Source organism: Homo sapiens, chromosome Y, assembly GCF_000001405.40.
Source record: "Homo sapiens chromosome Y, GRCh38.p14 Primary Assembly".
NCBI lineage: Eukaryota > Metazoa > Chordata > Mammalia > Primates > Hominidae > Homo > Homo sapiens.
In genome coordinates, this window is record NC_000024.10 from 26,207,834 (window position 1) to 26,235,657 (window position 27,824).

The 27,824-nt window shown below is 38.8% G+C and overlaps 1 pseudogene across 1 annotated transcript in view; it reads right to left on the reverse strand.

Annotated features, from left to right (window-relative positions):
• The window catches only part of REREP2Y (arginine-glutamic acid dipeptide repeats pseudogene 2 Y-linked), a 41,507-nt pseudogene extending 13,966 nt beyond the window's left edge, over positions 1-27,541 (reverse strand). The window contains exons 1-2 of the transcript XR_938673.3: positions 27,139-27,541; positions 243-315 (exon numbers count right to left, since the gene is read on the reverse strand). The product of XR_938673.3 is annotated as an arginine-glutamic acid dipeptide repeats pseudogene 2 Y-linked (transcript). The remainder of the gene's footprint in view (positions 1-242; positions 316-27,138) is intronic.
• Positions 27,542-27,824: the final 283 nt, after the last annotated feature.

The following is a 27,824-nucleotide window of genomic DNA, read 5'->3' on the forward strand; positions in this document are numbered from 1 at the left end:
TAAAGGGATAAAAACTTCAGAAATATTGTTTACAATATAAGCATTATGAGAGTAAGTGTTACAAAGCTGAAAAGATGGAACTAGTAACCCTCGTTTCAGTGCTACTGCCACGAGACAGTTAGCACTCAAAAGGTGAACTGGTAACCACGTCAACAGCAATGGAGTAACAATAAGAGATAGCCAATGGAACTGGAAAAAGAGAGAATACAGAGCAGAGCGAACAGCACGTTAAAAATGCTTACCAGTTTGAAGTCTTGAATGCTACAGATGAAATACGGTGTGTTTGGCCTCCGACTCGCGATATACACACAGTCTCTAAAAGAAAAAGAAATTTTAAAACAATGGCATTTACCTTTAAGGAACAAAGACAAGGCCCATAAAGCCACTGCATAAATAAGTGACAAAACATATATCTTTTATCGTAAATTTTTTTCCAAAAGATGATATTAAATTGCAAATATCTTTAGGCTAAAGGAAAACAGCCCTTTGGTTCTTTCTGATTATTTTTCTAATAATTTAAAGAATCTGATGAAGCCTAAATTATTTTCTTCAGAGTCCCTGAAGAAGAAGGGAGGATTCCAAGGGATTATCCATATTCAGATGAAGACATTTAGATAAAAGAAACCGCTTGCTCGAGATCACACATCAAGATGAAATATTGAGTATCTTATTCAGATAGATGCTCACATGTCTTCAAAAAAGAGAAACGTGCTACTATATTTGTAATAAATATTTTGTGAGGAAATAAATGAAATACGCAAAGATGACTAGCTTGAATATGCTACTACAATGACCTTTTCAGCTCATCAAAAAGAGAAAGAAAACTAACCTCTTACAGACAATTTGCCATTACATTGTACCCTAAACACATTTTATTTTCTAATTGTAAACAAAACCAATGCCACTAATCAGAGATGGAATAAAGTAAACCAAATTGCATTTTCTTCAGGGAAGAGGGGTGCTTTCTTAAATTACATTTGACATGGCAGTGGTTGGAAAATAATTTTTGATGCTCTCAATGACTGGAGTGTAAAGCATTGCTTTTTTTTTTGGCTGGTCTCCAACTCCTGGGCTCAAGCAATCCTCCCACCTCAGCCACCCAAAGTGTCAGGATTACAGGCATGAGCCACCATGCTTGGCCAAGGTTGCTTTTTAAAATGCCATGTTAAGACACTTTAATAAAAAGCAATGATTTTAAGGAAAGCAGTGGCTATAGAGAGAGTTAACCTCCTCCTACCCCCATATCACAACCTGAGATCATCATAAAGCTTAGGTCAGGAAAGTCTATGTATTATTTACTGAAAAGTAAAGGCACAGTCAATCAAATCTAGTAACGGTGACCATAATGCCTCATTCATTCATTCATTTTGCATAGAAAGGGCCTCACTATGTTGCCCAGGCTAGTCTCAAACTCTTGGGCTCAAGCTATCCCCCTGCCTTGGCCTCCCAAAGTGCTGATCTACCTAATGCTAAATGACGAGTTAATGGGTGCAGCATACCAACATGGCACATGGATACATATGTAACAAACCTGCACAATGTGCACATGTACCCTAAAACTTAAAGTATAATAATAATAGTAAAAAAAAGAGTTAACATATTTTGTTCCTTTCCCATGATTTAGATGTGCGTACACCCTAAACAAGCAATCTGTGGTAACTCTGAGAGATTCCTCAGTTGCTAAGAAATTCTTACTGCCCAATAGCTGAGTCTAAATCAAAGATAAATACAGACAGTACTGTAACCTACACACATCATTTAATCCTTACAGCAGATTTCTAACTGCTCTAAAACCTCCATTCTGATCAATTTATATCACACAAATACCTTCTCAGTTAATCTTCAACCAAGAAATTGTAGTTGTGAATGCAAATTTGTCTGTATTAAGTTCTAGCACTGACTTTTTTTTGTGGCGGGGGAGGGGTGGAGATAGGATTTTGCTCTGCTGCACAGGCTGGAGTGCTATGATGTGAAAGGGCTTACTGCAGGCTTGCCCTCCTGAGCTCTAGGGATTCTTCTACCTCAGCCTCCTGAGTAGCTGGGACTACGGTCTCATCACACTCCCAGCTAATTTTTTACTGTTTTGTAGAGACACAGTCTCACTATGTTACCCAGGTGGGTCTCCACATTGCTCAAGCAATCCTCCCGCTGCCTCAGCCTCTCAAAGTGCTGGGATTACAGTCATGAGCCACTGCGCTCAGCCCCACTGCCATCTTTTGAAATTTAAAAAACTCCTATGTGGGAGAATGAAAATCTGGAACTTGATGTGAAGTTCAGAACAGTAACAGCATTCCTCAGTAAAATGATTGTTCCAGATTACGGACATAACACAGTGAAGTATTTTCATCTCTTTCTCAGAAAAACATAAAAATGTTAATCTGCTAATTACATCTCATACGAAATTCATGTCACTCTTCACAGTAAAAGTAACTTAAACAAAATGATTTCACCTAGGTTTTACTGTCTTCTGTAAGAAAATATCGTGTTTTTTTTTTTTTTTTTTGAGACAGGGTCTTACTCTGTTGCCCAGGCTAGAATGCAGTGGTGCAATCATGGCTCACTACAGCCTCGACCTCCCAGACTCAAGTGATGCTCCTGCCTCAGCCTCCTGAGTGGCTGGGACTTACTCTGTTGCCCAGGCTAGAATGCAGTGGTGCAATCATGGCTCACTACAGCCTCAACCTCCCAGACTCAAGTGATGCTCCTGCCTCAGCCTCCTGAGTAGCTGGGGCTACAGGTGTATGCCACCAGGCCCAGCTAATTTGTAAAAATTTTTTGTAGAGATGAGGTCTCACTATGTTGCCCAGGCTGGTCTTGAACTCCTGGGCTCAAGCAATCCTTCTGTCTCCGCCTCCCAAAGTGCTGGGATTACACTGTGCCCAGCCTAAAAAAGGTGTCTTAATACACACAATACATCAAATGAAAAGGAAAGGCTTTGCTAGTGTTCAACAGGTTTTGACTCACTTGTTTCCCTGATCTCATCTAAAAGTTGAGTCTGTCTTTTTTTGAGCAATGCTATAAGCCACAATATACTGGCATGACCATAATACATTTTTGGAAACACCAAGCAGGTTAGATGACTTCTTCTATTATCGTTGATTAGAGAGCCTGAAGCTCAAATTTTTGGAAAAGGAAGTTAGCAGGAGCAATAAATCTCTGATCTTCAGGCCTTTTTTTTTTTTTTTGAGACAGAGACTCGCTCTGTCGCCCAGGCTGGAGTGCAGTGGCGTGACCTCGGCTCACTGCAACCTCCACCTCCTGGGTTCAAGCAATTCTCCTGTCTCAGCCTCCCGAGTAGCTGGGATTAGAGGTGCACACCACCGAGCCCAGCTAATTTTTGTATTTTTAGTAGAGACAGCATTTCATCATGTTGGTCAGGCTGGTCTCGAACTCCTGACCTCAGGTCATCCACCCGCCTCAGCCCCCCAAAGTGCTAGAATTGCAGGCGTGAGCCACCATGCCTGGCCTAAAGGCCATTTTTAAAAAGTACCTCTCTAGAGTCTGGTCGATCCTGTCCCAAGGTAAAATTTCCTGTTTCTAAGAATCTTAAGGTTTACTTGTCTCCACCAAACAGTCAATTCTGCAGGGTCACCACAGTCTCATTTATGATTGAAGCTAAACAATGTTAAAATGAGCAGACTTATCTATAAACCTTAGTGCCTTTGTCCAGTTACCTTCTTATGAAATATTTCTGACAGAAATATGATATCTGTCATTAATTTTAATATTTTAAAATCATTATGAACAATCAATATCTTTGGTTATTTTTCTTTTCTTTGTTTCTGAATTGCCAATTAATAGCCTTTGTTCAGTAGGGTAATCATCTTTTTCTTATTGTAGTAGGGGAACCTCCTATAGAGTAGGGCTTTTAAAACTAATATAGGCAGCAAATATTTTTTCCCACTTCACTTTCTGTCTCTGTTTATAGTGTCTTTTACTTAGAGATTTTAAATTTTATATAATTAAATTTGATGATTTTTATCTTTATGGTATTGTCAGAGACATTTGAACCAGAGAAACTTCATCTTGAATAGGGGCTGGGTAAAATGAGGCTGAGACCTACTGGGCTGCATTCCCAGACGATTAAGGCATTTTAAGTCACTGAATGAGATAGGAGGTTGGCACAAGATACAGGTCATAAAGACCTTGCTGATAAAGCAGGTTGCAGTGAAGAAGCTGGCTAAAACCCACAAAACCAAGATGGCCGTGAGAGTGTCCTCTGCTCATCCTCACTGCTACACTCCCACCAACACCATAACAGTTTACAAACGCCATGGCAAAGTCAGGAAGTTACAACATATGGTCTAAAAAGGGCAGGCATGAATAATCCACCTCTTGTTTAGCATATAAACAAGAAATAACCAAAAAAAATGGGCAACCAGCTTCTTTGTCTATGGAGTAGCTATTCTTTTATTCCTTTACTTTCTTAATAAACTTGCTTTCACTTTATGGACTCTCCCTGAACTCTTTATTGCATGAGATCCAAGAACCCTCTCTTGGGGTCTGAATCAGGACCCCTTTCTACTAACGGTATCACACTTGGAAAGGCTTTTCCTATATAAAGATTACAAAATATTCTCTTCTGCTAACTTTTATGGTAAAACACTTTTCTCTTACAAATTGTAATCCAACTGAAATCCATTTGTTTTTGGTATGGCTGAAGGGAAGGATATAATTGCTCAAACAGATAATCAACTGTCCTAATGATCACTTATTGAATAATTATTTCCTCACTGAGATGAAGTCACCTTATACATGTGATTTTTTGGAGGGGCTATGGATTGTGTTCCATAGGCCTCTTTGTTTATTCTTGAGCTAGTGCTTCACTCTTTTAATTGGTACAGTTTCACAGCATATTTTGAAGTCTGTGGGAAAAAGTTTCCTTTCACAAATGGCTATTATAATACAAGAGAGTTCACAAAAGATTATGGCAAAATACCACTCTCCAACAATTTTGCAAAACTAAGTAATTTTCTGCTAGGTTAGAAGTAAATGATTTGTCCTCAGCTGCTGCCTGGTGAGAGGGCAAGCAGAGGAAGAACATATGTAAAATTTAGAATATATTAATAAGGCAGAACCAGCTCAATACTAAACAAATTATAAGGAAACTCATTTGGCCTATAGTCCCATAACTATGTCTTCTCCCAATCTCTTAATTTCTTAATTTCATCAGAGTAACAGTAGAAAATCTCTTAATTTCATCAGAGTAACAGTAGAAAAAGAAAGATTCCAACTTTTGGCTCTATAGTCTATTATTTTTTATTTAGTTTCTTCTTTCAGAAGATCAGTTTTGTACCCTTAGATACGAGGTGAAAAACTGCAGAGGGTCATTCCCCCAATTTTGATGTCCTTCTTTAATTTTTCAGCAATTGCAAAACAGGTCTTTAGTTTGTTCATTCAACAAACTACTAAGGAGCATCATCTAGGTATAAGGTATTTTGTTGGATCCACTATTAAATAACAGTATCTAACCTCAATCTGAACCATCAGATTAGATTAATTGCTCTTCTCTGTGCTCAGAATACCTGTCTGTACTTCTGATGGGCACTTATTATGTTCTGCTGAAATGATCTGTCTCTCTAGTGGCTTGTTAGCTAATTGAAGGTAAGGATACTGTCTTATTCATGTTGTTTCCCTAATACCGAGCATGGTGCCTGGTACACTGGTGCTTTAAAAAAATTAATCTAGTGGAAGTCTACAAGGTGAACTGGAAAGAGGAGAATCTGGAAACAGGAAGGTAAATTGAAAAGCTTGTTCCACTGTTTTGGGCAGGAGGTAATAAAAGTCTGAATTATTGTGGTGGCAGTGGAAATGAAAATGACGGAAAGGATGTGAGAAACATTACTGAATTATTATATAAAGCTAAGTTTAATTAGACATGCATTCACTTACAAGTATTAAGCATGCATATATAACAGGGAGAGTTCTTACTTAGAAAGTCTTTCATGCTAGAGAAAGGAGACAAAAACAAAAACAAAAAAAGAAAAAAGAAAAGAAAACAGCATTAGCAAGAGACTGATTTGTATTATTTCCATCTATAAATGCACTTTTGAAATCAGATGGCTGAACTTCACAGCTGGAGGTGGGGGTGCCATTTAAGAAAAGCAATCAAATTGACTACACAAAGGTGACTTAGCCCTAGTTCACACTTCTTTGTATGCCATGACTCACTAGATTTGAGGCATTAGGGATAGCATCTTTTTAAACTAGAAGTTAGCAAAATGTAAAATGATCAAAAACTGCCCCCAACTCCCCGCCCAACTAACTAGCCAAGCTTGTGTTCTAGGAGTGACTATCACAGACTTTCTATGTGACATTTGGCCTCTCTGGATCTCAACATTCATTCTATTAATTTCCTTCGTTCACAAACTCCCAACCTTGCCCTGAGTGAATGCTGCAACTACAAATATTAAAACTCAGGAGACTTCCTCAGTTTCTCCTAGGTTGCTAGTGAAAGTAGAAGAGTAAGGGAGATGGGAGAAAGTCCCATCCTAGTCCCTAGGATGCTGGTTAAAAAAAAAAAAAGTAGGTACTCTGAGGTCTCAAAAGGAGTTTTATAGATACAACCAGTAAGCTTGGTCATTGTAAACAAATCAAACAACAAAAAGTGCTTATGTCTGTGTTTGACATTTACTTTTTACTGTAGATGACCTTTACCCTCCTATCCCTTCTTTTTTTTTTTTTTTTAAGAACTCTGGCAAATAAAAATTCAATTGATTTAAATGTACTTAATTATTTCCCTTTCTGAAGGGTTAAAGAACCACAAAATCTTCAAGACAGACAAGAGGAGGAAGAGAACCAAAGGTCCAATAATCTACAAAATGGATAATGAATCCTTGAACTTCTGAGAAGTCACTCAATGACACTGCTTTGCACTAAACAGTCCCTGGAAGCCACTGGTTTGTCAAACAACATAGCAGGACAACCCAACACACCACACCCTACAGCTGTCCAGGAGAGGTATACAGTGACAGCACATATGACTAAAGAGGACTGAAAAGAGTCACCTTGATAAACATGACATTTCCTCATGGAATCTCTCTTTAAATCAAGGGTTATACTCATCAGAATAATCCTGCACACTTTTGCAAAATGTACATGTCCTAACCTCAGTACTGGAGATTCTGTTTCAGTAGGTCTAGAATGCAGCTTTCCTATATGTATTTTTAAAAAGTAACCCAGGTGATTCTGCTGTACAGCCCTGGTTAAATACCGCTGGACTAAATGAAGGTTTTTTGAACATGGAGACATGCCCCCATTTGAGGTGGGGGAATCATTAGGACTCATTAAGAAAAGTATATGGTATATTCTCATACATTGAGGTGAGAATCCTGAAAGTTGGAAATCTAAAATTCAGGACAATTCCAGGCATTTTTCCTGTCCCACATTTATATATCTAATCTCCAGTGGCACTTACATGTATACCCCACACTTTCATTGCCTACTTTCTCAACTTACCTGAAGTTTTTTTTTCTTGATATCTTTTTTTTCAAAAAAGAAACTAAATTTTAATCACCTCTCAAGAACTAACACATATACAGGGCTGGGTGCAGTGGCTCACACCTGTAATACCAGCACTCTGGAGGCAGGAGGATCACTTGAGCCCAGGAGTTCAAGACCAGTCTGGGCAACATGGCGGGACCCCATCTCTACAAAATAATTTTTAAGAAGTTAGCTGGGCATAGTGGTGTGCACCTGTGATCCATGCTACATGGAAAGCCAAGGCAGGAGGATCACTTGAACATGAGAGGTCGAGGCTGCAGTGAGCTGTGTTCATGCCACTGCACTTGAGCCTGGGTGACAGAGTGACGCCTTGTCTCAAAACAAAACAAACAAAAAAAAGTATGCAAGTGAAGCTGAGATCCTGGGCTATGGGTTATGTCACTCATTAGCTTTGTGAGAAGACCTAGCATCTGGGTGGATTAAAATTCATGGTCCAGGAAAACTATTTATTGTGACATGTCAAATACTTGTGAATAATTCAGCCTGAACTCCATACCAGCAAATGCAAAACATCTGTTGTATTTAAGAGCCCACTGTGTGCAGAGCCCTGTAGAGGAGGCACTGAGGAAGAAGCAGAATAAGTTGCACGACAGAACCAGGAGAGCACTGTGAACATAATTAACAAGTTCGCCTGAAGCAATGTAGGGAAAACATGAGAATATGTGCTATGGAGATAACAGTGGTAACCCATTGGCTTCAGCTAAGAAAACCTCCTAAAAGATAGGAGTTTTGGGAAGATCATATTAGAGAAACACATACAAACACATATTTTTTTCCTGATAACAAAGATCCAGAAGAGATACATACATTCTTTTAAAAAACATATTGTTATGGAGGGAACATTTCCCTAAAATTCCATCTTATTCCTAATTATATTTTTAGTACCTACAGGGCCAGAACACAATAGGTGTTCAATAAACACTAACTGAACTGAATTGTTAATGCTCTGAGAAGTGTGATGGCCTTGGCTAGACCTGATTTCTAATTTCTGCTCTGACATCTAGCAATGTGACCTTGGCAAGTTACCACTTATTCTAACAGTAAGAATTAACTGTGATAACTACAAGGAAGTGAACTCTTAAAATGTCAGCTTCCCCGCCACCATTCCTCTGCTTTCATTTTTTAAATTGTAAGAATATTTTATTAGGTCAGGTGCAGTGGTTCACGCCTGTAATACCAGCAGTTTGGGAGGCTGAGGCAGGTGGATCACTTGAGGTCAGGAGTTCGAGACCAGCCTGGCCAACATGGCAAAACCCCATCTCCACTAAAACTACAAAAATTAGCTGGGTGTGGTGGCACAAGCTTGTACTCCCAGCTACTTGGGAAGCTTAGGCAGGAGAATTGCTTAAGCCCAGGAGGTAGAGGTTGCAGTGAGCTGAGATAGCGTCACTGCACTGCAGCCTGGGAGACAGAGTGAGACACTGTCAAAAAATAAAAAAAAAGAATATTATATTGGCTACTGATGCTGGTTAGAGTACCAACTTAAAACTTCATACCTTTGGTTCAGGGAATTGAGTTCACATGTAACCAAATGAAACAATAATTTAGAAGACCATTTATTTTCTCTCAGTGCTTCTGACTAGAACAGCCTTCAAACTATACCCTTCATATGGGGGTAGCATTGTTGACACTCTTTCCAAAGATGTACTTTCCACATCGTCTTAGGTATGGAAAAATGACCTGTTTACAATCAAACTGGTCCCTTGGGCCTTTTCTTCCTCCTATTGAACTAGGAGCTCATTTCTCCATGGTGTGCAGACTGAGGCCTAACTTTCTGACAATTAAATCATGCTTTTTTGCTGACTTTTTCTTGAAATGTGAAACCTCACTTGAATTTTTTTTTTTTTTAGTTTCTTCTTTTAAATATCCTATTTGTTGGGTAAGATTTTACTATATCTTTAGTTTTAAATTCTGCTGTGTAGACTCTGGCAGCTGCCTCTATGGTGACAAAACAAGCTTTTTTTTTTTTTTTTTTTCATTAAAACAGGGAGATTAGGATTTTACCAGGCATCAATCTTAGCCATTATCTATAAATCAAAGCATGCTAATAATTTCCATTGCTTTACTTTTTAAATGACATTAACCCTTTTCATTTAGAATGTTCTGGAAGCACAATTAAGCCAAGAAAGTTTTCAGATATATGGCTGTATAGTATGGCTGTGTGAACTGTATGACCTTCACTGAGGAGGTTGACATAAAATACAAACACTTAAAAATTGAAACACACAAAAAATAGGTTAGCACTATCAAGCAGCAATCAGAAAAAGCCCCCAGGGTTCCTGGATATGAAAAGGCAGATTCCACAGGATTTTCAAGAGGCCTAGATTAATTTTTCCACAAATGAGAGCACGTGGAGGAAGGTAATGATAATGGTGCTCACACTTGTGATTCCCATACCAGTTTTTGTCCCTATAGGCTTACTGTAGGAGGTGTTCCCTACAGCCACCTAGGAAGTTGATGACCTACACTCTTACTTCTGCTTGCCAGGAGTAACTGAAAGCAAACACCACAGTCTGTTGTTTATTAGCTTTTAAAGGCTTGTTAACATTCCTTGTTAACAATTTCTTTTTGGGTAACCTTTTATAAAATGTGTAAGTAATGAGTGATCCAGCAGACAAGGCAGTAGACAATTTACCTAGATGCAGATATTAGAGAAAACAGAGCTTGCAAGTTAATCCTTGATCTTTCCTTGCTATCTCTAATTCCCTCCAGCTTTTACCTGACTTTTGGAGCTATGTGGAATCCTTTATTTTTTATTTTTTTAAAATATTATTGCCGTCAGGGGCTAGCCTTAGCAATGTCCTGGGAAAGTCAACCCTACCAATTAGAGGAGAGTAGATAAATCTCCTAAAACCTCAGAGATTAGTGAGCTTTGGATGCAGTAGGGATAACACAGTTAACTTAATACAAACAATATTATTTCAAAAAAGGAAGAAAACTGGACTTCTAAGGGTGAATTATTCTCACTGTAATAGAAATGGTTTCCTTTCAGGTTTTTAGCCTAAAAAGAGTAAGGCAAGATAGCTTAAAAGTATATAGGGTTTAATGTTTAATTCCCCTAATTCTGATAAAATGGCTTAGGTTTTTAGATCATACTTCCTAACTAATTTTCATTGGTGGAATACCTCTAGAAACTATTGTTTTGCTTGGCTTCTTGATACCCTAGATAATCCGGGGTTTGATGAAAAAAACACTAGTTGGATTTAGGGAGAGAGAAGATGGGGTTTCTTGGGTAAAGAAGCAGAGTGGCTGGATTGACTCAGAAGACTTAACTTGAATTTTTCCTCTTCATCCTCCTGTCATTCAAACTAATTACAGATCACATCAACTGTTAGACTAACTCGACTTCATTCAAGAAAGCTGACTGCCAACCCTGCAGGGTGACTACTAAGTAAATCTAGAGGAGATAAGACAGAGTGGGAGTTTGCCTAAGTAATCTCAGGGGAACAGTAAGCCAGGAAGTGACATCAGAAGAGGTAAGCAGAACACAGAGTAGGGAAATGAACACTGAAGCTTCTCCCAGAGAAGAGGATTCTAAGAGGTCAGCTGAGTGGGCAGGAAATAAGGCGAAGTCCTAGAACATAAGGCTTAGGGACTTCAGCCGAATCGATGATCCTTTAGAGGCTAGGAATGTGGACTCATCTTATCTATGCTCTGGCAATGGTCCCATCCTTCCATCCTCCTCCTCTGTATACTCCCTCTCTCTTCTCAAAAACACAAGTTAGTCTACTCTGTAAGTAGAGTCTGAATAGCTTATCTGCACATGATGATATCATATATTTTAGAAAAGGCATGAATCTTTTCTCCAATTGGTAGGTTAATTCACAAATCTATTATGCTGTATGCTCTAATCTGGAAGTCTTAGAACTTCTCTAAGTGTTTTTGTCAAAGACTGTTTTGCTCTACCTTCTATTGAAGACAAATGATGGCCACTAAAATGAGACTCTCTAGTGTGTCTGAACTAGATAGAAACTGTTCAAAGAAGGAATTACTTTCACAGCTTTTATGGCCCAACTGGGGACAACAGATAATGTGAATGAGACTCTAGAGAAGAAGAGACTAAAAGCTGCTCAGAAACCAATATGAATACAGAGAGTAGAGGTAAAAAGAATGATTAGCTGGATAGACCATAGTTTTAAAAATGTCCCAAAATAAGAAGCAGACTTCTTTCTTTCATACCTCTTGAAATTCTCCCATAATAATCTCATTGCTTGGGCCTGTTTCTCATAAAAGAACAGAATGAAGATCACCATTAATTCAGATGGCAATCCTAGAAAGGGACAGAAATCAGACTGGTTTTGATTTGTGAAATGTGTAGGGCCCTCAAAACACCAGAGACTGGCTTAGAAAAATCCCCACAAAAGCTTTCAACTTGAAAGTTATCAGGAGTTCAGGAAGGCACATAATTAAAAGCAAACTCCTTCTACCAAGTTTAAAATAAAACTGTGGCTCAGGAAAGCTGGGCCCAAGGGAAAGGAATGAGACCAAGTCACATGTCTGCTACCAAGGCTGAAACTGGTTTAACTCATTTTCCTTTTGGAGTTATGGCTTGACCCCACAGTGATGGGAAAAAACTTCTATTTACATTTTCTCCCGAAGAGGGAATAAGCAGAAGGAACATTTTATATTATGTTCTTGTGTACTAGCTGAGCCAGAGGAAAAAATTTGAGCTATTCTGGGGTGGTCTACAGAGAACCATCTTCTTTCCCTTCAGTGTTCTCAGAATATTGACTGTTGATGAACAAGCCAATGATGTGAGTGTGGCTGCAGCAAGGACCCTTCAAATTTTCAGAGGTACTGCAAACCTAATCATGGTCTGAGTTAATTGCGAAATAGTATAATTTTGTAACTTTTGAGTTTAAGAATCATTCTGGTTTCATATGTAAGTCCAAGAGAGACAAAAGTTTTCCATCCTTCTATCTTAAGGAAAAAGATTTCTTCATAATTCAAACAGACAAGATTCTTAGGAAACTTGAAATAAGGAGAATCTACCAGTCTCTAACTTTGAAGTGAAGCCTTCATTGTTCTAGTAATTTATCTGGGGATCCTGCATAATCTAGAAATAAATGTGAGGGTGGAACAAGAACTTCCAAGGTTTATGCAAAGATGTGACAGTAGAGGGCAATGATAATGAGGCCTATGCTGTTTTTTATATCAAAAAAATTAATATCATCAAATTTTCAATTTCATTAGTTTTCTATTGCTGCCAAAACAAAATTTAGTGGCTTAAAAACCCATTTATTATCACACAGTTTTGTAGGTCAGAAGTCTGCACAGTTCTGCTGGGTTCCCTCCTCAAGTACTCAATGGTCTGAAATCAAGGAGTCTGCTATTGGCTTTTATCAGGAGCATCTGGGGAAGAATCTGCTTCAAGCTCATCCAGGTTGTTGGCAGGAATCCAGCCCTGTGAGGTTTCAGGTACCCACAGCCTTGCAGGGTAGTGGCTGCTTACTGCTTGCAGAAGCTCCTACATTCCTTTTCACATGGCCCTTCTGATTTTCAAACCAGCAATGAAGCATTGAGTTCTTTTCGCACTTCACATTTCTCTGGCTTCCTGTCCATCATCTGCTGAGAAGGCTCTCTGCCTTCACAGGCTTATGTGATTAGCTCAGGCCCACCCAGGAAAACCTCCCTAACTTAGGTCAACTGTGGTATGTAACAGAACAATCATGCGAGAGCTATCTTGTCATATACATGGGTTCTAGAGATTAGGCGAGGACCTTTTGGGGAGGCATTTTAGAAATTCCAACTATCACAAGGATCTCCCTTATAAAAAATGGTCTAATTTATCTGTAACATCCTAAAAGAAACATCCATAGCACATGGCCTCTCAGCTGCACTAGGTGATTACATACATTCAGAATCAGGGCAATACCAAAAGTGCTGTCTTATGCAGGGAAAAAAACAGGCGTCCATGTGACCTGGTATACATATGTGTAAGAGAGTATACTTCCAAGGAAAAATTAACTTTTAAAAGCAAGTATTAAATCACATATGTCTTCATCATATTATATGTCTTGATTTGTCTTTACCGACTACTTAATACATATAGAACAAAAAGTTAAACATAGTCAAATACAGTATTTACATTCAGTTCATATTATAAATATTTCTGAAAAATCTCATATGCCAGATTGTGACTACCCTATCAATTTAAGGCATGTAAAATGTTAAGGCATGTAAAAATGGTATCATGTAACATCATCTCATATATTGCAGCATATGTCACTATATTTTAAAAGAAAAACCATTAAGTTCATTAAATGATAGAAATAGACTCATCTTTTGTTGTCTCTATTGTGCTACCTAATATTATTAGAATTTTAAAGCTCTTAGCATCTATGCAGACCTGCACCTCCCTTTTGTGAATATTCCCAGCTTCTGAAGAATTTCTGGATCTTTTGGAAACTCACAAAATGCACTCATTGTAGAAGGAAATATATGGATATATTAAGGCCTCCATAAGATACCTAAGGCAAGCCATTTTATATGTATAATTGAAAACTCTTGTGATTCATAAATGCATTTGCAGCCTCCGGCATATTTTCCCTCTAGCCTTTCACATGCTGTGTACTATATAGGATGAAAATGACCAACAGGGGAATGAGGAGCTCTAAAACTTGTGTGGCTCTAGCACATGGGTCACGTTTCTCACATTTAATATCTATGTTTACTTTCCCCATAGCTTGGAGTTTTAGGTTCACACAGATGTGTATGGGCATCTGAAACTATGAAATACATTCAGATGATTTAAAAAAAACACAGCCTCAGTGAACACCTGAGAAAAGAAGCCTGATCAGTCCCTCCAAAATATTGTTAGAATACAGCATAGAGTATATCGTAAATTTTAAAAGTCCTTATTTAGGCCTTAAATCCTACTGTTTGAGTTTCACTCCATTTCTCTAATTGAGATTCCAGGTCTCTCCCCACTAGCCTGTCATGATGTTACTGACCACCATTATACTTCTTTAGGAAGTAAGCTTTCCTTGAAGCCTGGGAAGAGATGGGTATTTTCATATGGTAAATGTCACAGTCCAGCAGCCTGTTTGGGTAGCAGTAACTTTAATTTTATTTGGACTAGGCTGTGAATCAAAACTTTTACAAAGGAATTAGTGAGGCTCTCCAGACCTCACATTTCATGAGGAGATAAATATTAATACTTGGGACCTAAGTAACATAGGGTAGAACTTTTTATTTCTGAGTAGATTCCACAGGCTTTTTCTCTTTTGATTCCCACAAAAACCAAAATATTAACTCATATATTTTGGAGTGACCGATATACTAGCAAATTGCAATAAACAGGAATCTGAATTGACTTGGGAAGACCTATGGTTAGCCTTCATGTTAGAAATAAGATTCTCAAGTGTGTGTGGCCTCTGACTCCTTTCCAGACGGCTAAATGGGATAGGAGCGGAGAGATCAAATCTCAAGCAGCAGCATTCATTCCCTGCATTTACATTAAGCACCTGTATGTGCCCAGCCTTGTGAGTAGTACTTACAGGAATAAAATCGACAATTACAGAATCTAAGACATGGCTCTCTGATCTCAAAGAGCTCTTCTTTGAGGAGGTAAAATATGCACACTCATAAAACAAATAGAATGTAATTCAAGAAAGTTGGCTGGGCGTGGTGGCTCATGCCTGTAATCCCAGCACTGGGAGGCTGAGGCGGGTGGATCATGAGGTCAGGAGATTGAGACCACCCTGGCTAACACAGTGAAACCCCGTCTCTACTAAAAATACAAAAATTAGCCGAGTGTGGTGGTGGGCACCTGTAGTCCCAGCTACTCGGGAGGCTGAGGCAGGAGAATGGCATGAATCTGGAAGGCAGAGCTTGCAGTGAGCAGAGATCATGCCACTGCACTCCAGCCTGGGCAACAGAGCAAGACTCCGTCTCAAAAAAAAAAAAAAAAAAGCAATTGATTAAATGCAATCAAATGTTAGACCATCTAGTACATACAGTAAATAAAAAGGGGTAGTTAGGAAAGGGAGAGACCAATACTGACTAGATATTCTGGGCAAGGCGATAATGGAAGGAACAAACTTAGTGGATACATCAGCTTGAAGTCTGAAACTGGATGGTCATGAAAAATGACACTATTATGTGTGACTTGTAAGTGATCTTACATAAGTTGGGGCCTTGAAAGGGCCACAGTCATCCCAAAGTGCTACTCTGCCTTGAAAGATGAAATTTAGAAGGATAAAGAACTGAAGCTTTCTTTGATTCTTCCACTTTCGTACCCCTAGTAGGGAACTTGAGTCTTCAAATGCACAAGTTTCTTATTTAGGGGGCTAAACCACCTCCCAGAGCAGAATAGGTATTTTAAAATGTAGACTTTTGGGACAGGGGATGCTTTTGTAGTTTATTTTCTTGGTTTTGGCAGGGAAGGGTCTCCTCAGATGAGAAAAATCTCAGTAATTCAGGCCCTGCTAATTCAGAACTTGTTACAATTTAACAGGTCCTGAGTTTTATCATAGACACTTGTAAATACTAAAATTTTATATATATATATATATATATATATATATATATAGAGAGAGAGAGAGAGAGAGAGAGAGAGAGAGTCTTGCGTTGTCAGAGTGTACTGGCATGATCATCGCTCACTGCTACCTCTATTTCCTGGGCTCAAAGTGATCCTTCTGCCTCAGCCTTCTGAGTATCTGGGACTACATGCATGCACCACCACACCTATTTTAAAATGATGTAAAATTCTGACTTTGGCTGGGCACAGTGGCTCACACCTGTAAGCGCAGCACCTTGGGACGCTGAGGCAGGAGGATCACTTGAGGTTGGGAGTTTGAGACCAGCTTGGTCAACAAGTTAGTGAGGCCCCAGCACACCTATAGTCCCAGCTATTAGGGAGGCTGAGGCAAGAGAATTGCTTGAGGCCAGGAGTTTGAGACTGCAGTGAGCCATGATGGTGCTACTGTACTCCAGCCTGGGTGACAGAGCGAGATCCTGTCTCAAAAAAAAAAAAAATTCTGACTTTTTACTAATCTAGGTTTGTTTGTTCCTGTTATTCTGTTACATTTTTCCTTAAGATAGCTTTTGTTGTCATCATCTCTCTTTCCAAGTCAGATTCAGTAGTCAGGGATACTGGTAATAATCTAGGAGCTATTTAAAGAAGAGACAGTAGTTTCACTAGAACAGTTACATGCCTTACTGGTTAAGGCTGAGGCTCTTGATCCAGATAGCTGGCTCCAGCATTTACTAAGTTATGTGATCTTACATGATTACTTAACTTCTCTGTTCAGTGTCCTTGTCATTAAAATGAGATAGTTAACTTGGTGTTTATGGTTATCAAACGTATTAAATGAGACAATAAATGTAAGTGCTTGGTACAGCACTGACAAAGAGTAAATGTTCAATAAATTTTAGCTATTGATATTACTACAGTCCTCCATACTTTTTTTTATTCTCTCTCGTCCCTCTTTGGTCTTTTGGTTCTCCCAATGTTTGTTGGCTGCAAGAGGAATAAGCTCAAATAAATTCCTCAGCACTCAAGTAAAGGGTTTTGATTATTTGTAGATTTTGATTAACCAGGCTAATTCCTACTTCCCTTTCTAATCTACACACATTTAAGGTCATTATTTTACTGTCTGGATGGATATATGTACTTTCAGACAACCAACTATGTAAAGTTGATTTTGGAAATCAATGCAAAACATTTTTTAAAATGCTATAATATACTCTCATCTATTTTATAACTTTATTTAAATCTAGAATATTTAACTTTTCATACAACTTTTAAAATAGCCACTTGCAATTTTATGTACAACTCCTATATGAAAATGTTGCTTTCATAATGAACTATGAGAGGTTAAAGTCCAGACACACTTTCAGTATCTTTATCTAATCATGTCACTGGTAGAACTCTTTCCATGCTGTGTAACCAAAGAAGGCTGTTGGATTTTGGAACTGTTATGAGAACTAACATTCCAGTTGTGGATAACCGTCACTCACTGCATGATAACCAGGTCAAGAATGGAATAAAAAGGAGGCTTAAAAGAAATAAAAAGCTGATGAAAGCCAACTCTGATTGTTTCCCTTTGGTCTTCTTATAGTAATAAATTGCCAGCTCACCCAAATATTAACAGATTAAGAAAAGAAATTAAAAACCAATGCTGAATAGTCTGGGAACTTTTCCAAACTTTAAAAAATAATCCCTTGTCACACAACTGGTTAGGTACTGAAGACAAAACTAGAATGCAACACAAAACTCATAACCAATTGACCCTTAACTAAATTTCTGAATCCTTTGAGAACTGAAACTCATCACCGTAACATAAGTTTGACCACAATACCTCTGAACAAAGAAACCAGATACAAGACCTGCTGTCTTCCTGCATGTGATTCCACTGGTGATGGAATAGGAAAGCACCATTAGAAAAAGAAACATATCTCTTATCTGCTTGTGGTTACTCCTCTTGAGGTTTACTCTCAGCCCCTCCTTATGTTACATCTACTCCTTAGATAAGCTCACCACTCTTATGGCTTCAACAATAAATATCAGTATTTTTAGCCCATAATTTTCTCCCAAGTGTCAGACCAATTACTTTCTGGAAATCACTATCTGAATGTCCCAAAGTACCTCTAATTCGACATTCCAAAAGTGAAACCATTTCCCCACTTGACAGCGTTTAGCCTCCTGTGTTTGCCAACTCAATTTTGTCACACTATTTTTTTTTCTTTTTGAGACGGTCTCATTCTGTTGCCCAGGCTGGAGTGCAGTGGTACAATCATGGCTCACTGAAACCTCGACCTCCTGAGCTCAAGCTATTCTCCCACTTCAGCCTCCCAAGTAGCTAAGAGTATAGGCATGTGCCACAATACCTGGCTAGTTTAACAATTTTTTGAAGAAACAGTTCTTACTCCATTGACCAGACTGGTCTCAAACTCCTGGACTCAAGCAATCCTCCCATCTCTGCCTCCCAAAATGCTGGAATTACAGGTGTGAGCCCTGCACCTGATACTTATCATACCATTTTCTACCCAGTCACCTAAACCAGAGACCTGGTAGTCACTCCTGACTCTGCCCTCTCTCAGGCTCATCCTTATCCCCATTCTATCAATCCATATCTTATCAATTCTACCTTCTAAACAACTGAATGCTTCTCTATACTTCCCAGAAAAAATATCTCTGACTAGGCCCTTAACATTTCTTACCCGGAATACTGCAGTCAAAGGCCAGTGACCTGATCATGTCCTGACCCTCCTCCCAGTCCAGCTTCCACAGCTGTCAAAGTTATTTCTCTAATATGCAATTCTGAGCACAGCAACTTTACTTCAAATCTTCATTCCTTTATTCTTTATCCACAGGATAACTCCCCAAATGCTCAAAATTATATACAAAGCCTCACATGACCTGGGTTTGCTAAGCCTCCTGCCTCATTTCTTATTACATTTCTAAATATATCTTTTGTTCTAGCCACACCGACATGCAGCTCTCAGAATAATGCCATTATGTTCTCATATTCTTTTTCTACCTTTGTAATGTACTGTTTTCTTCTTTGTCCATCTACCTTCTATTGTTCTCCAAACTTCAGGCTAATGTATTAACCACATGACTGATCTAAAACACCCTGAACTTATGTCTTTATTAGAAAATTCACCTCCCTGGTATTCTAATTCTTGATTTTCTTTATCTCCCCAATTAGACTGCCAATTCTTTGAGGGCAGGAACTGTATCTTTCATTTATGAATTCTGGTGTCCAATATAAAGCCTACTACAAAGCAGATGCTCATAAAATGTTGTGGGAGGATTCACAATAGGGCAGGTGGCTTTGATACACATTTATCATGGAACTAAAAATTAGAGTAGAAGGGCAGGACACCGCTTGCAGGAAAGGGAGCTGATGTCTTCGAAGCTCCCAGTCTCTCTGGTCAACAAACCAAGACTTCAGATGCCATCTCCCCCAGCTCTATGTAGGACATGAGTTAACTAGGCCAGTCTCTACTAAGAATTCATGTAATGGTGCTAAAAACTCTCAATAAATTAGGTATTGATGGGACGTATTTCAAAATAATAGAACTATCTATGACAAACCCACAGCCAATATCATACTAAATGGGCAAAAACTGGAAGCATTCCCTTTGAAAACTGGCACAAGACAGGGATGCCCTCTCTCACCACTCCTATTCAACATAGTGTTGGAAGTTCTGGCCAGGGCAATTAGGCAGGAGAAGGAAATAAAGGGCATTCAGTTAAGAAAAGAGTAAGTCAAATTGTCCCTGTTTGCAGATGACATGATTGTATATCTAGAAAACCCCATTGTCTCAGCCCAAAATCTCCTTAAGCTGATAAGCAACTTCAGCAAAATCTCAGGATACAAAATCAATGTACAAAAATCACAAGCATTCTTATACACCAACAACAGACAAACAGAGAGCCAAATCATGAGTGAACTCCCATTCACAACTGCTTCAAAGAGAATAAAATACCTAGGAATCCAACTTACAAGGGATGTGAAGGACCTCTTCAAGGAGAACTACAAATCACTGCTCAAGGAAATAAAAGAGGATACAAACAAATGGAAGAACATTCCATGCTCATGGGTAGGAAAAATCAATATCGTGAAAATGGCCATACTGCCCAAGGTAATTTACAGATTCAGTGCCATCCCCATCAAGCTACCAATGACTTTCTTCACAGAATTGGAAAAAACTACTTTAAAGTTCATATGGAACCAAAAAAGAGCCCACACTGCCAAGTCAATCCTAAGTCAAAAGAACAAAGCTGGAGGCATCACACTACCTGACTTCAAACTATACTACAAGGCTACAGTAACCAAAACAGCATGGTACTGGTACCAAAACAGAGATATAGATCAATGGAACAGAACAGAGCCCTCAGAAATAACGCTGCTTATCTACAACTATCTGATCTTTGACAAACCTGAGAAAAACAAGCAATGGGGAAAGGATTCCCTATTTAATAAATGGTGCTGGGAAAACTGGCTAGCCATATGTAGGAAGCTGAAACTGGATCCCTTCCTTATACCTTATACAAAAATCAATTCAAGATGGATTAAAGACTTAAATGTTAGACCTAAAACCATAAAAACCCTAGAAGAAAACCTAGGCATTACCATTCAGGACATAGGCATGGGCAAGGACTTCTTGTCTAAAACACCAAAAGCAATGGCAACAAAAGACAAAATTGACAAATGGGATCTGATTAAACTAAAGAGCTTCTGCACAGCCAAAGAAACTACCATCAGAGTGAACAGGCAACCTACAAAATGGGAAAAAATTTTCGCAACCTACTCATGTGAAAAAGGGCTAATATCCAGAATCTACAATGAACTCAAATAAATTTACGAGAAAAAAACAAACAACCCCATCAAAAAGTGGGCAAAGGACATGAACAGACACTTCTCAAAAGAAGACATTTATGCAGCCAAAAAACACATGAAAAAATGCTCATCATCACTGGCCATCAGGGAAATGCAAATCAAAACCACAATGAGATACCATCTCACACCAGTTAGAATGGCAATCATTAAAAAGTCAGGAAACAACAGGTGCTGGAGAGGATGTGGAGAAATAGGAACACTTTTACACTGTTGGTGGGACTGTAAACTAGTTTAACCATTGTGGAAGTCGGTGTGGCGATTCCTCAGGGATCTAGAACTAGAAATACCATTTGACCCAGCCATCCCATTACTGGGTATATACCCAAAGGGCTATAAATCATGCTGCTATAAAGACACATGCACACGTATGTTTATTGCGGCATTATTCACAATAGCAAAGACTTGGAACCAACCCAAATGTCCAACAATGATAGACTGGATTAAGAAAATGTGGCACATATACACCATGGAATACTATGCAGCCATAAAAAATGATGAGTTCATGTCCTTTGTAGGGACATGGATGAAATTGGAAATCATCATTCTCAGTAAACTATCACAAGAACAAAAAACCAAACACCACATATTCTCACTCATAGGTGGGAATTGAACAACGAGAACACATGGACACAGGAACGGGAACATCACACTCTGGGGACTGTGGTGGGGTGGGGGGAGGGGGGAGGGATAGCATTGGGAGATATACCGAATGCTAGATGATGAGTTAGTGGGTGCAGTGCACCAGCATGGCACATGTATACATATGTAACTAACCTGCACAATGTGCACATGTACCCTAAAACTTAAAGTATAATAAAAAAAAAAAAAAGAATTCATGTAATGGGTCCTAATGGGAAAGCTACTTTTATTCCCACAGGTTTTACTATTCTAGGAAGATTCCTTGGGCTTAACAATTACTGCTATTGATTTTCCTTGAGTGAAATAAAAAACCCCAAAAACAAATACACTCCTGGTTTTAATTAGGCAGAAAAAAATGGTTAACAGATTGCACTCTTAATTAGCATTGTTCATCCAAGTGTTTCTCATTCCATGACAACGGATTATAAAGTGGAGTAAAAATGGATTCCAGATTGGTAGTGCATCAGATGTAGTGTTGGATGTATAGAGGATATGATAATATGCTAAAGAACTGTTTGGTACTTGTCAGAGGAAGGCACAAAGCACACGCAAGAAGTAATTATCAACACTGACAGTCTGGAAGGCAAAGGGGCAGAATGTCTCTGGCTTGCTAACCAAAGTTGTTACGTAGACAAGCTCTGATGAAGGCAATAATCCTTTATCATCCAATTATTTATCAAATGTACCCTAATTAGTTTGTAGGACTGGTTATAAAACAAAGCTTATTGATTAAATGTTCCCTTTATGCACATTAATGGCTGACTGAAAAATATTATGTAAAATCTCTGTAATTTTTTGTTTTTGTCATTTTTTAAAATTGAGATGTTAGAACTGAAGGAATAGCAATCCAGACTAAATGGGAAAATGCTACTGATCTTGCTTTATAAATGCAGGTCAAATCCTATTATAACAAATACCAGTTCAATGAAAATGTGCCTAATTAAAAGATTCCCAGGGTTCAGCTGATGACCCACTTACTTCAAGATTTATTCAATATAATAAATATCAGATAAGCACTACAATTTGGACATCCTCTAGTATTTGTTTCCTTTAAATATACCCTGCATTGAAAAAATTTTAAATTAGCAAATAAGAAAAATTTGAGAATACTGACCAAAGATTACCTGGCTCTTACTTTTAGGATAATTTAAAAATGCTAAACCATCTAAATTGAGTAGTTCCTAATTTATAGAATTTATAAACGTTAGACCCAATAATATACATAGTAATTAAAAACCAAGAGCTACAAGTGTCTAATGTATTTGCAGTTCAGAATTTTTTCTTTAACTACAAAGACTCAAAAGAAAAATAATTTTTTTTATGTTGGAAAATTACTGTCAAAAGAAAGTTTTACTACTAATTGTATGAACCCAGCATCTTATATTAGGGTTATTTTGTGGTATGAGAAAAGAGACTGAGCTTTCAAATTCTCATCAATATCTACCTGGTGTGGTTCCCATTAGAAATGCAAGTGAATCTGAAAGTTTTTCCACTTTTCCTGAGTAACAAATCAGAGATGATCAGAGCTGTTACTAAGGGAACTTCTCAACTTTTAGACACAAAAAAGATACTGAACTAATGGAAACTTCATATGAAAGCCAAAAGTAGCAGTAAAAAAAATTATTTCATTATTTAGGATCAACAGACTCCAAAACAGCAATATTAGGAGCATACCACTTATAACAGTCATTCTTAGTGTCAGTAGGAGCGAGTGAGGGCATGCCAAAAGGATGGATGAAATTTTCTCTAGTGAGGAAGAGGGATGTGTTTGTTTGTTTGTTTACTTATAGACGGAGTTTCGCTCTTGTTGCCCAGGCTGGAGTGCAATGGTGCAATCTTGGCTCGCTGCAACCCCCGCCTTCCGGGTTCAAGCGATTCTCCTGCTTCAGCCTTCCGAGAAGCTGGGATAACAGGTGCCCACCACCATGCCGAGCTAAGTTTTTGTAATTTTAGTAGAGATGGGGTTTCACTATGTTGGCCAGGCTGGTCTCGAACTCCTGACCTCATGGTCCACGAGGCTTCAGCCTCCCAAAGTGCTGGGACTACAGGTGTGAGCCACTGCACCCAGCCCGGGTGTATATTTTTAAAAACCATGTTTAATAGCATAATTTTGTGTTCAGAGAATTAAAAATATTTATTATTTTCAAAATACAAAGTAGAGAAGGTAAACAAAAATCTTTTTGGCTGGTGAGGACATGCACTATCTTCTACATGAGTGATTTTTCATTAGGGAGTATATCAGCTGCTGTTACGAGTTTAAAAGTAAACATATATAATAAAGGTTTGTTTTCTAGTCACTGAAAAATCATCCTGCCTTTTGTTTTCTCAAGTTAAAAATAATAACTTGTTTGACTTACAGTTTATAGTTTGCCTTTACTACTGCTTGAACATTTGACGAAAGGTACAGTGTCCAAAATATTCTCTCCATGTGAATAGCTATTATTTTAAAATTCTCTCTGAGGATATTTTCCTTATATGGGGGCATTTACTCTTTAGCCCTGTTAACAACACTCAAAAAACAATCAAACTTTTAACTGCTGGCTGAAATTTCAATCTTCCGTTTTGAAGAATGTTGGATCAGGTGCTGTCCCTCTGTAACTCTGTGCCATCTCTAGAAGAAACTGTATGTATGTATACAAACAAGTCAAAGAAGTTTGGAAGAGGACAGTAAGAGAGCTGTCCTGACTTTAACTCTGAAATGCACACAGAAACTTCCCAGTATCTTTACTGTAAAGACTCAAGCATTTCCACTTTTCTAGAGAAATACAAAGACCCTGAAGCCCACAAGCTCTCAGATTCTGTGGGCTCCATGGTCCCAGAGAGTATGACTGGGATTTGAGAACCAGGCATAGGAGATTCAGTTATGGCCTGCCAATTCCCTCCCTTGGCCTATAAATACAGTTTCCCTCCTTCCTGCAATTTCAGTTTCCTGTGTCTCCATCAAGGATACATTTTGGACTCCCACAGCTACTTAAGCTTTTAACTGTCATCTTTGTCCTTTAGCATGTTCTTAAACTTGACCTTCAAATATATTTGAGACGTACTCCAATGTTGCTGGGAATATGGGGTTTTAGAGTCAGAGAGCTTGGTGCTTTAATCAAGGCTCTGCTGCTTACTAGTTGAGCAATGCTGGGCAAGCCATTTCTCTTCTATGTACCTCAGTTTCCTCATATGTAAAATAGGGATACCAATACCCACCTTTCAGGGTGGCTGAGGATCAGCCAGTTGCAACCAGGCATCAAAAGGCATATGAGCACAACACCACCATCACAAAACCAGTTGTTAAAATACACTCAAAACCAGTTTTTAAAGACTACCCTAATTAGTTGGACATGAGAGAAAATGAACTAGGTTAAGGGAGATCTTGCGAGATGAAATCTTCATTTTATACCCAGTCCTTAGTGTCAGCAGCCACCAAATGAGTCTTGCATATCTTTCTCTGACATTAAAGACATAAGCAACATAATGGAACATGAGTGGTATATGAAAATCAACATTCTCTTTATTATAGTCTCAAGTCATTTGGACACTGGAAGTTAGTTAGAGTAAGTTGATGGTATTGTAGGAATCCACAGCCAGTGACCACTAAAATTGGGAAGCAGTATCTTATTAAGCCGTCTATGTTTTAGTTTCCTGTAATTCAGATTTTCTCCCACTGTGACCTCTGTCTAAAAGGCAGGGATGAGGGGTGGTGAAACGAGGGTAGGGAGGTTGGATGGCAGCTGTTAGAAGTGAGACAAGACGAAAGCAGTACCTAACTCTAAGAAAGCAAAGGAGAAACAGAAAGGGAAAATGGAGGAAGATCACCTAACAGGTTATTGTTGACTGCTCACCACATTGCTCTGGAACTATGGTTATAGTGGTGAAGAGACATTAATAAGGGGCTCTTTACAACTAAAGGTACTACACAGTATAAGAGGGAAGGGAGCAAAGTTAAACACTAACTGAAGTAAGGTGTTCAGTTTTGCGGACCTCAATTGGTAGCCACCAAAAAATACCCAACAGCTAGTGGGGTGAAAGCATTCTGTGGCTCCTTGGGAAAAAGAGGTACCAGTCTATGTGTTGAAGAGACACTCCTGGAACTCGATGACAGTAACATATATATTGGAGCCCCTCTTGGTGCTCTCACAAAAACTTGTGAATAAAATAACTTCGTAACAATATTCTTTTGGTATTCTCATCCCTAGCTGAGGTCTTAGACCAACATGCCATATACCAAATTCCACTACATGGTAATTTATACTGGTAAGAAAGACATTGAAAATGCATACAAAATAATTGGGGAAAAAAACCCCACACTAGTCTATCCAGGCTTCTTGCAAATTTTCTCCCCATAGCTCCCTAAATAAGGAAGCTATGGCCGTCCTTCTTCTTACTCTGTATATACAGCAAAGCACAATCTAGTTCCTGAAAAAGTAACTGCTACATTGCCTGCTACCTAATATGCCCATCAGAGCTTCTCATCCCTTGCTATTGGTAGCAGTTGTTGCTTTTGTCAGCTTCCCACAGAGGAAGACACTAAATCAGATGCAAATGCCTATATGTAAATCTCTTCGCTGAGACATTCATTAGAGAAAATGGAGAAAAGTCCCAAATGGCTCTACCTAGGACATCGCAAACACCTCCATACAGCTGGTTGTCAATGGCCAAGAGTTAGTTCTTTGGCTTTTAAGCAAGAAATTTCCTGAAGGTACTTGGTGATTAAGGAGTAAGATTCCAAGTGGCCATAACTCCTTGCTCCTTGCTCATTTTGGTCTTTCTCACAGACAGACATACAAACTAGGCAAAAGCATACTCTACCTCACATACATACACACACAAATACACACACAGAACTTGCTAAACTGAAGTTTAATGTATATAGTTGTGTGGCCATTTAGGAGGTTTTTCTCTTGAAACATAGTATTGACCCATAAAACACAAGAAAGGCAGTGACTAAAATAGCTGTAGAAATTAAGAAAAGCCTTGTAAGATAAAGTGATAAGGACTGTAAAATCTTACTGTTAAGCAGTTTACAACTGATAGTTAAAAGCTAAAAGGCAGAAACTGTAGCCCGACATATTTAAGTCTGCTTTTACTTAAGACTACATTAAGTATTATGAACCATAACCTCTTGCAGAGAAACTTACAGGGTCTTTACTTGCAATTTTTTTTCCTGTACTGATTCCCATATGCTCTGAAGTCCCTTTGCTCTAAACCTAATGCCCCAAGTTATATATACACACATTCTCTACCTTTGACACAGCTATGAACATATGTAAATAAAAAATGCTGCTTAGTCAGAGCATCTTGGCAGTCAGGGAGGGAGATGCCGGGGGAGAATCAGACTGAGGTTTCCTATTCCTAGTGAATTCTTTACTTCGGGTATATAAAGAGGACATGGTTCCTCAGGATGCAGATAGACACGCAACCACTGGATTCTTCACACAAAGCTGGGAAATTTCCCCTTTAGGTTACCCTCACAGAATCTCTCCTTTTGACTTGATGCAAGATGACTTTGGATAGAACTAAATAAAGGATAAAAGCTGCCCTGTAAATTATAGTCTTGAGCTCTGAACCAGTCCCCAGTTACACAGAGTCTGAGTTCCATCAATATTTTCAATTCAGTTTTGACCACAGGTTCTCAGGACTGGTAGCTTACCGTAGAGGGTATTGTGCTGAGCAACACCTTTTATGCCTAGATTAAGTCCTTGATTCTCCTCAAAGCACACTTCTTATTGAGGCTTGCTCTCCAATAAAACCTGAGTGTAGGTTCCTGATGACACCAGATTAAATACTGGAGGAAAGACCACCTTGGATCCTGCTGGCAGTGAGTCTGGGATCTACTATCACTTTATCCAGAGGGAAGAAATACAAATCCTGTGGAAATCATGCTGTCCTTCCTTAGCTTGACTCCACTGGGCTGTAAGGCATTTGGAACTACTATGATAAAATCAGGTCAGACAACTTAAAAATCAAAAACAAAAAAACGATAAATAAGGAACCAAGAGTTTATAAGAAGGAAGCAGTCTGAGGAAGTCAGGTTTCCCTAAGTCCTCCCAGATGAAGCTGCTTTTACATATAAACACTCACAGTCATACACACATCTTTTCCCCTCCCCTCTTCTATTTTCTGACATTCCAAACTCCTATTCACTCAGTGAAGAATGCTAGAGAGGAGCCAAGGGCAAAGATTCACTTTCAACTCAGAATTCGGGTTGCCACTTGTAGGAGGAAAAGAAAGCCTGCCAGCTTCTAGGAATAAAGGGAGGCTCTTTGGGGGCATGCTCAGGGGCAAACCTCACCAACCTTCCAGTGTCCCCTGCCTCAGAGTAGGCAGCAGTCTCTA